At 35.6% G+C, this 11053-nt stretch overlaps 1 annotated feature.

Annotated features, from left to right (window-relative positions):
* Nucleotides 536-705: an enhancer, noted in NCBI's record as "experimental_66022 CRE fragment used in MPRA reporter constructs". NCBI's record gives its function as "activates a minimal promoter by MPRAs in K562 erythroleukemia cells, with activity observed for both the introgressed and non-introgressed 3:161837898 variant alleles {active_cell/tissue: K562}" and the evidence as "EXISTENCE:reporter gene assay evidence [ECO:0000049][PMID:34662402]".

Consider the following 11053-nt stretch of genomic DNA (forward strand, 5'->3'; position numbering starts at 1 on the left):
ACTATGATTCCATTTCTTATTTAACTAAAAACAACTCTTTAATGATTGAGGCATCTTCTGTGGACTTGCAAACAAATAAGGCCTGGAGAATAGAAAGATGATTCTGAAATATTCCAGGCCCTAAAAGAGAGAAATAGACAACATTTATTTACTTCTGGGGTTCAGGCTGAAAGCAGTTAAGTCTTGAGACAATGATAAGAATACAGGTATTCTTAAAGAAAGCTTGTATTGTGAAAATTAGGACAATAAGGAAAAGTGGCACTGGATCATGGATAACTCGGGAAAGGATCTCTTTATATCTTTATCAGGTGCCAGGGAACAAACTGATGTTTTTCTGGAACTTTGACTGAAGCCTGGAAGCTTGCCTGACTGTCCACCACACACTTACCAGGACAGACTGCTATACGGTACAAATAACAAAGCCACCATGTAACCCATCACAACTCTTGGTCCTGTACCCCTAAATAAAACAGAGGAATAAGTAAGCAATAGAAAAAATATAGTACTAGCCTACTAAACTGTAGGATTTTAGCAGAAGGTGGCAGGGAGAGAATGAATCAATGAATGAATGAAACGTAATTATTAGAATACCCTAAACAGGTGGAATTCAATGAAATAACATTGCTGACAGCAACTAATAAGAACATGAAGAAAATAAATAAGTATATACAGAGACTTGATTATAGTATAAATGTTATTTTCTGTAATGCAAAATTTGTTTTTTAAATGTAAAAATCCTATAGATAAAATGCAGTGTATATTTACTATTGAGATTTGAATTGTGGCCTGGAGGAGGATCCTGGAAGAAGTGGACACAGTACTGAAAACACAGAGTAAAAATCCTATTATGGAAATCATGAGGGAAGAGATGAGAGAATCAGAAGATCCAGAAAAATTAATTTGGAAATAACTGGCTACTAGAAGGAAAAATATAGGAATAATTGGGTTTGAGACTATAGCTAAAATATAATAAAACAAAAAATAACAAATAGACTGGAGAAAATTTTACAATGTACTGCACATTTTCAATCTGCCTCTATTGATTAGAAAGGCTATACAAAACCATATTCTGAAATAATATCAGCCTATAGGAATAGAGATTATCCTAGTTTCTGGAAGAAAAGAAAGAAAAATAAAAGTAACAAATAAATTAGGGTGGTCTTGGAGTTTTCTTTTGTATTACATTTGAGCAATTGAGATAAAACAACAATCAAATACCAACCAAGATGACATTTAGCTGTTGGGGCTAAAGGTAAATATTTGTGGATATACAAGGATTCAGAGAATGTATCACATATGAGGAAAACTGTTAAAGCATCTACAGGCAAAAATGAGTTAGAACACAGGTCTCAATGTAATCAATATAGAGATACGTAAATGAGTGGAAGAAATAAATCATGAGTTCTTGTAAATTTATATATGTAAAATATGAAATTTGGAATGGAGATATTAAGCAAAATTATCATAAAGTTATTTTATCTATTATAGTTAGAATGAAGCCTTGAAGAAATGGAGCATCTTGGTGTGTGACACTTAGTATGTTATTTTCATGTACTATTAGAGAAGTAAATATTTTGAGTCTCATCAAGAAGGAAGTAAGTTAAACTGATTGTAACTGTGTGGATTTTTGCATTGTTTGAGAGCACTGCATCCAACAGGCCATCTGTTATACCTTACATATCACGGATATGTATTTTATTACAATTTTTAAAAAGATGTAATTAAAGTTATTATTCTAACAAAATATAGTATGATAATTTTCTGATTGACTTAATTTTTTAAAATTTTTAATTTTTGTGAGTACATAGTAAGTGTATATATTTATGGGTTACAAGAGATGTGTTGATACAAGAATGCAATGTGTAATAATCACATCATGAATTTGGGGGTGTCCCTCCCCTGAAGCATTTGTGTGTGTGTGTGTGTGTGTGTGTGTGTGTGTTACAAACAATCCTATTATACTCTTTTAGTTATTATAAAATGTACAATAAAATTATTATTGACTATGCTCACCCTTCTGTGCTATCAAATACTAGACCTTATTTATTCATTTTAACTAGTTTTTGTGCCCATTAACCATCTCTACCTCCCCAACAGTCCCCACCTCCCTTCCTGGCCTCTGGTGATTATCTTTCTATTCTGTCTCCATAGTTAAATTGTTTTGATTTTTAGATCACACAAAAAAGTGAGAAAATGCAATGTTTGTCTTTTTGTGCCTGACTTACTTTCCTTAACATAATGATCTCTAGTTCCATCCATGTTGCTACAAATGGCTAAATCTCATTCTTTTTAATGGCTGAGTAGTACTCCATTGTATATATTAAACAGGATCATTTTTCTATTAACAGAATGTGGCAGTTGGGAATTGTGGCTCATGTCTATAATCCTAGCACTTTGTGAGGCTGAGGCAAGACTATCCGTTGAACCAAAGAGTTTGAGAACAGCCTGGGTAACAGAATGGGACTGCCTATCCATAACAATAATAATAATAATAATAATAATAATAATAATAATAATAATAATAAAAAATTAGCCAGGCACGGTGGTACATGCCTATAGTCCCAACTACTTGGTGGCTGAGGAGGGAGGATCGTTTGAGCCTGGCAGGTTGAGGCTGCAGTGACCTGTACTCTTGCTACCACACTCCAGCCTGGGTGACAGAGTGAGACCCTGCTTCAGAAAAACAAACAAATAAAAGCCAAAATCCAAAAAAGTGACCAAATGGGCTAGTCACTATAGACTAGTTGGTTTATGAACAGTAGGAATTTATTTCTCATAGTTCTGGAGGCTAGGAAGCCCACGATCAATGTGCCAGCAAATTTGGTGTCTGGTGAAGACTCTCTTCTTGGTTTTTAGGTTGCTGTCTTCTTGCTTTATCATCTCAAGATAAATACACAAGAGAGCTCTCTGGGATCTCTTGCTAAGAGCAAATCCCATTCATGAAACTTATGACCTTATGAATTATTACTTCCCAAAGGCCCTACCTCCCAATACCATCATATTGGGGGTTAGGATTTTAACGTATGAGTTTAGGGGAGATACACACTTTCAGTCAATAGCATTCTGGTCCAGGAATTGCTCAACTGTGTTCTTCTTGTCTGCTGCATAGATAAAACAAACTTACTGAGACTGCAGTGTTGCAATAGGGAAAGAATTTAATAACCTCAGGGCCAGCCAAGTGGAAGGATGGGAGATATTTCTCAAATTTGCCTTCTTAAAAGCTCAGAGGGTAGGGTTTTTAAGGATAATTTGGTAGACAGGGGGCTAGAGAATGGGTGCTTCAAATTATATCATAGGAGTACCCAAACTCTCTTTGCATGCTGAATCAGTTTCTGGGTTGGGGGGTCATAGGACTAGCCATGCCGGCTGTTTGGTAAGAGTCATGGGTCCTGGTGAAGTCAATCAGTCACCAGCATGCAAAAATCTGAAAAATATCTCAAAGACCAATGCTAAGTTTTGACACTAATGATATTATCTATAGTAGCAATCGGGGAAGTTATAAAAATCTTGTGATCTATGGAGCAGTAAACAATTATAGAAAGGTAAGCTAGGGGGCAATGACTGGTTATTGTTTAACTATCCCTATATCTTAGCAGAATTCAGCTTTCTCACATAATCTTAACCTTGTCGCCCTTTATTTGTTTTAAAAAATAAAAGGTTTTGGTCCCCAAGCAAGAATTGAGTTAGTTTCAAGAAGGAACTCTTATATTTGTTTTAAAGTTAACAAAGGCATTTAGCTTATGAGGTGAGAAGCAAGATGAAGTCAGTTAGGTTAGACTTCTCTCACTGTTACAATTTTTGCAAAGGTGGTTTCAGTCTCTCATAATTCATGTCTTTCTCCCATGCACAATACATTCATTCCATACTAATAGCCCCAAAAGTCTTAACTTGTTCCAGCATCAACTTTAAGGTTTAAGTCCAAAATCTCATCAAAATCAAATATGAGTGAAACTCAAGATATGAGTCACTGTAAGGCACACACATCTCCAGTTGTGAACCTCTAAAACCAAAGAAGTTATGTGTTTCCAAAGTATAATAGTGGTACAGGCCTAGAGTGGACATTTCCATCCCAAATGGGAGAAACAGGAAAGAAAAAATGAGTGACAAGTCCCAGGTAAGTTCAAAACCTAAGGAGACCAACATTAGACCTTACAGCTAAAAAATCATCCCTTTGGCTCCATGCTCTGCCTTCTAGATCCAGGGAGATACTGCCTCCTAACACTACCCAGCAGAGGTTACGTCCCCAGAGCTTTGGATAGCCTGCCCCCACAGCTTTGTGCAAAGTCCAGCTGCCCTATTGAATGGAAGGCCATGGTCCCCAATTTTGAAACTAAGGAGGCAGCCTTAATACTCTCTGAATGGCCGGGCGCGGTGGCTCACGCCTGTAATCCCAGCACTTTGGGAGGCCGAGGCAGGCGGATCACGAGCTCAGGAGATCAAGACCATCCTGGCTAACACGGTGAAACTCCGTCTCTATTAAAAATGCAAAAAAAAATTAGCTGGGCGCGGTGGCAGGCGCCTGTAGTCCCAGCTACTCCGGAGGCTGAGGCAGGAGAATGGCCTGAACTCGGGAGGCGGAGCTTGCAGTGAGCCGAGATTGCACCACTGTACTCCAGCCTGGGCGACACAGCCAGACTCCGTCTCAAAAAAAAAAAAAAAAAAAAAAAAAAAAAACTCTCTGAATTGCATTCAGGGTCATTCTTCCTTTGGCATAGGGCATGTTCAAAGACAAATAGTAAGACTTTCATCCTGTGAAATTCAAGAAGTTCAAGGACCTGCCTTCATTACTTCCTGTTTCCTTCCTCTTCAGTTTAAAATGGCAGTTTTTCTGCTGAGGAAGCTGATTAAGTCTATGCTTCACACTCATGCAAATCTCTTTATCAATGAGAAATTTGGCTTTATCTTTAGTGTAAGTTACTGAGTCATTACTAGTAGTTTACAGAAATTATGAAAACTGTTTTTCCCCCTGAAATGTTCTCTAATGCGCCTTTTATACCTCTTGCCCTTTGCACAATTTTGTAAGTAATAAAACCTCTGCATAAATTCATTCCTGCTTAAAAATGTCCATAACGTTACTATGGCTTGCTGGTAATTGCCTGATAAAATAGTGTAGAGGATCTTTATATGCTTGTTCATAAATATATTTGTTACTGCTTTTATTACTAATATTATTATTTCTCATTGTTTTGTGCCAGGCATGATGTTATACGATTTCACATATTCTACAATCCCCATCACAGACCTGAACAAATGGACATGTGTAGCTACTATTTTTAGGGTTGAGAACACTAGGTATCAACAAGTTTAAATAAATTTCCAAAACTAACTGTTAAGTTATAATCCAGGATTTGAACCCACATTTTTGTGGCTTGAAATCATTTACTCTTTAATATAAAATAACGCTTCTTACAAATGGCTTCATTCAGAAATTTTTTTTTCACTTTTGCTTCTATTAAATTTAGGTCATTCTTATTTAGGGTATTTTTTCCAAGTAATACTGTTTACATAAACTTGTATTATTATTACTATTATTCCAAGTTATTTTAGAAAACTTTTATGTAGCCTAATCAAATCACTCATTTTCTTAGTATATTAGCTGTGATGCAACTTCTACTAACATTATCAGACAATTAACACCTCTTTAATGTAACATATTGCAAATTGAGCTGTGGTGACAAGAAGTCATGGTAGCAAACTAATTAACAGAATGAAATTGATTCTTGCTTAATAAATATTTAAGAGGAAATAAAATTTAGCAGTGAAAAAACTGAAATGGCTGTATGTTCAGCCAATTTAAATACTGAATGTGTATTAGTAGGTGAGAAGGGGGACTTATTTGTATAACTAACGTAAGTTAAAAGTTTCTTCTTTTGACAGTCACAAGAAGCAATTCTTTAAAGATTTCTTCTTTAAAGGAAATGGGTAGACTTATTCTTTCTTTAAAGATATGTGAAAATCTTTAAACCTTTCTTAGTCAGAAGTCTTTCAGCAGCAAGTGATAGAAACCCATATTAAAAACGTTTTAGCAAAAGAAAACAATACACAAAGAGGACTTTCTTGGTGTCTCTATCTGGGAAGTGTAAGGGTCATGTTATCTTCAACCACAGTTGGACACAAGGACTAACACAACGTTTTTAGGGCTTTGTTTCTCCAGGTGGTAATGTACATGTTTGCTGAGTCCTCACAGTTACTTCTCTATTCCATTCATCTCCATCCTGCAACTTACCTTAGCAGCCCCAGTGACATGTCCACATGTCAATCCTCTGAAGGATACTGAATAATTGCATATGTTTTTAAACAAATCTATGTATGTAACAAATATTTACATACCGCATTCTATATTTCAGACATCCTTCTAAGTATTACAGACATTAACTTATCAATCCTCTTAACAATGTAAAGATAGTTATACTATTGTTTTCTCCCTTTTATCCATAAGGTAGTTGAGACAGAGGTTAAAGTCACACATTTCATGAGTGGCATAGCCAGGATTAGAACAGTGCAGTCTGATAAAATTCTGTACTGATTCTCCATGTAGGACAAAAAAAAAAAAAAAAGTTGCCAATGCCAAAATGTTGTTCTGATTAGGTCACTATTAGGCTAAATTTACATCTGAGATTGAGGTAATTGTCACTACTAGGATTAGAGAAAAATGAGGAGGAAACACTTCCCATAGAAATATATATGCTGAGCAGAAAAAAAAAAATGTCAATAGATGTTCACAAAAATAAAAGAGTGATATCTTAAGTTTATACATACATACATATGCATATTTATAAACATACATCATGTATATCTATGTGTATTATATATATATTTCTATTTGAGGATTATATGTCATATATAATATGGGCTAAATAGCAAATGTTAACAGTAAAATATAGCAAAAATATATATAGTGATATAGTCCTGAAATTATAATGGGAGATTATCAAGCTAAGTGAGTTTATGTTTATTTACTGATAATTAAATATGATTATGTTGTCAAATAAATGGAAAATTTAACCCCCAGAAAAAAAAATTATTCTGTTTCTTTGTGTTCTTTCCTCCGTTTAATCACAAATCTTCAATTTTTTGAGCCAGAACTAGAAGAGAACATTTACTGATGAGACTTCAGACAAGGTATTAGATTCTAATGAAGTCTTCTCTGAACCATTCTAAATAAGGTGACTCGTTATTATAGTTTAATTATACTTCTTGAATTGTAAAAAATAGGCTGCCATAGTACAATCCATGTGCATTTTCAAAACTCCTGTCACTTAGTGTCTCTATCTGAACTCTTTGCAGAATGTTTTTCTCCTTTTCCATTTTTAATCAGTTCCTTTTATCCGTTTGCGGTGATGAATGTGAATGAGTTAATCTCCTTCCACTTCTTCATTGGGTGAAAGTAATGATTATCTGTGTGCTTTGAGGTCTCCACCCTGACTCTGTAGACACACCTGTGCGCAGCCAATGACAGCATGTCCCCAAGGAATGTGCTTTGTTCTTTCAACTAACCTGCTTCTTCCATGCCCCAACCTGGGTCTCAATGTTGGGTGGGGTAAATGAAGGCTTTGTTACATTCCTTTCTAAACTGCTGCTGAATAGCATATGCTAGTGATGATAATGATCACTTTCCTACCCTCAGCGTTCTGAATATTTAGTCATTTTTTGTTACATGGCTTTATTTTGAATACTTAATTTTTTTATTTCATGTGTCCAAAAAAATAAAAAAATCATGAATTATTTCCTTCTAGGATTGTTAAGGAAGCTCCCTTTATGTGAGTGCTTAGTGGAAGATGAATTAAAATACAGATAAAGGAGGGATCTTATACTGCAAGTAGAATAATTCAAATTATTCTATAAAATTGTAGAAATTAGTAGTGCTTACAATCAACTGGACCTGAGTTAATTTCTTTGATATACTAATTGCTGATGAGACCCTGAATCCCTTCATCTGCAATGTGGAGATAATAATACCTATGCTTTCACATCTAAGGATTAAGTGAGGCTTTATGTACTTATCACATAGCGAATAATAGTGACACACATTTATTAGTAAATGGCATTTATTTTTATTTTATTTGCAACCTTGTTTACAACCTTATTGATAGGAACTCCATTTTGTGACTTAGGCTTCACTCTCATCATGCACCCCAATAACTTCTCACAGGCTTTCATTCTCTCATTTTGACAAACTCATTTGACACACGGAACTATTTAGAGTCCTCAAAAGCATCAGCCTTTTTCTCCTACCTTACATCTATTTATGCCCTGGGGTATCTATGCTTAGATTATATTGCTTTAAAGGGAGTAAACTGAGAAGGAATCTTTTCAGATATTTTAGTTCTGAATTTGGCATAATTCACCAAAATTTGGAACTCTTTAATTTGGTATGTCAAGAAAAAAATAGAGTTATCATGAATCAGTAAATGGCAATATTTTATCCAGCATCAAAAATTTATGGATTTTATTATTCATATGATATTATATAAGCTAAACATGTAAAATGAATTCAAGAAGGAATTAAATTTATGAATGAGAACCAGTAATAGTTTATAAGAGAAAACAAATCTTGCCATGTCCCACAAAGTCTCCCTGACATCATTGTTTAAAGTGAAGACACTTTTGGGTAAGATGCACTGAGACTTTCTCATACTCTTCATTTTCACTGTAGAATTATTTGTTTAAATACTTTATAAATAGGTACATCAAAGTAGATAAATTAAAGCTGCTCCAGTATTTGCTTTTTCTCTTCTTTTCTGAGCTTTCAGGGACATCCCCTAGATAAACATTTTATATCACCCTTCTTTCAGTTTTTAAGCATGTTTTAAACCAAAAAGGTTTTGTTTAAAGATGTTTCAGCAGATTGATTTGAAATAGAGAACTGGCCTAAGGAGAGTCAATTCTTGGCCTATCCTGAGGAAATCTGTCTTCTCAGAAATTTTGTCTCAAAGTCACACTGTACCCTCAGCAATGTGAGCTAAAAGACACAGAGACTAAGAGCAGCAAGAGCTTGATCTAGAAGGCCACACAGGACTGGATTGCAATGTGGAATATGTGCAAAATGGATAAACTAAGTGAGCTAGTCAAGGAGGGGGAAGAATGGAGCAGACGCACCCATGCATAGGTGGAAGTGACAGACACCTTGTAGGCCTCTCTCTAATGGAGGATTGGATTGCTCTCAGTTTTTAATGAAGTTCTTGGTCTTTAAGTAAATTTTGCAGCAGGTCTGGTATGTCTTGGACTATCTCAGATATCTGCATTTATACACAAAATGTAACTTTTATTTCACCCATGATGAGTGGAGTTTTGTTTCTTCTAATCAAAGGGTTCTACACTAAAAAAGACATTTGAGCTATAAATATGGTTGCAAGCAGTGCGACCTAGAAAACATTGAGAGATTGGTTAAGGTATCATCATGGCTGAGAAGAAGACACTCAGAATCTTTCAACCAGGAAGAAAGCTATCAGTTCATAGATTTTTCATAGACAAGAGCTTAACACAAACTTTCAGAAACCAGAACATACAACTACTTAGGGGGAAGAGTTGGGGAAATTTAGTAGAAAAATGTCAGGTTAGTGATATTTATTGTTATTTCTCGGTTACTCCTTATGCCTATAAGAACACTAAGAACACAGAAACACTCCTGTTTGGGAGTATCTGGCTGGAAACAGATGATTAAAAAAAGAAAATAATTATATAAAATTGCTTTACAAAGACATTTCTACTGGTTGCAGGCACTCTGAGACCATTGAGTTTCATGTACAAAAATGCAGCTTGCCAATTGAGCCTGACATAGCAAAGGTATCATTTTAGGTTAAAGTCAATGCTTTCATTGAAACAAATAAAAACCAAAAAACAACAACAAAAACACAGTAAAAGTAAAAACACCCTGGATATTGCAGTAATGTACCTGGAATAAGAAGGATTCCCTGTGTTGCTGGCAAACTCTTCTTGGGGAATCCTAGAAGGACCAGGGTGATCCTTTTATGGGTGGTCAGGCTGCAAACTCACACATCATCTGGGGGCAGTTGAGGTTGTTAGAAAGTTATGGCTAGGCTGGTGCTCTGATATGGGCAGTAACCAGAAATATTTACATATCAGAAGTTGGCTTTTAACACACTCAGTCTCCAAGAATAAAAATAATAAACATATCCTAGAAGAGTTTTATCACCAGAAAATTTTCTTTAACAGGGACAGGTGACTGACTCAAAGTAGCATGGGAATGAGTCCCAAATGCTCATGTAATGATGGGCACTGAGCTGAAAGGCCTGGGATGCAAATACAGAATTCTACAGCTGTACAACCTGGAGGGAAGCATATTCTCCATTGTCCTTCTCAATGCTGATTCTTCTCAGGTAATTGAAGAATTTCACTCTCCTGCTTCAATTGAGCAACAAGAGATTCATCTGGAAATTAAGATAAGCCCTTCAGATTATCACAGAAATAAATGTACCCAAATATTGTAGCCAGTTGACAGTATTTTCCCAAAAGGACTTGTAGATTTGGGTAATGCTCAAACTAAACAGTGAGAGAAGCTCCCAAACAGAGGAGAATGGATCAGATTTGCTGATAAAATCAGAGGTGCAGAAACACTGTAGTCCCCTAGAGAAAGACAGAATACATAATTCGTCATCCATGGCATCATTCCATTTCCACTTCCCAGGAAGCTGCCTCTACTTTGGATCCATGGTATCTCTAGCCATACCATAGAACTGCTTTTCAGCTAACTCATTTGAAAGGGCTTATATTGCTTTCATTTAAGAGACCTGGCTAGCAGAATTGGAGAATTCATCATTACTTTTTTATCTTACTTCAGAGTGCCAGTCACTCCACCATAATTATCACTGTTTCTCCACTTTAAAGTCTATCCATTTTCTTGAGAACTTTTTGGAACTGAACCAAATACAGTAGTTAGTACACTACAGACTTACAGATTGCTGAAGGACTTTCATTGCCCTGTTCCAGGGCCTTTGTGTATAAAATCCTAAATTACTTCTGTGCCTTTGGATCACTATATCCTATTTCAAGTGCATTTTGACATTTCAGATATTTCCTGAGTTCTCTCTGA

The sequence above is a fragment of the Homo sapiens genome, chromosome 3 (genome assembly GCF_000001405.40).
Source record: "Homo sapiens chromosome 3, GRCh38.p14 Primary Assembly".
In the NCBI taxonomy this organism is placed as follows: Eukaryota; Metazoa; Chordata; class Mammalia; order Primates; family Hominidae; genus Homo; species Homo sapiens.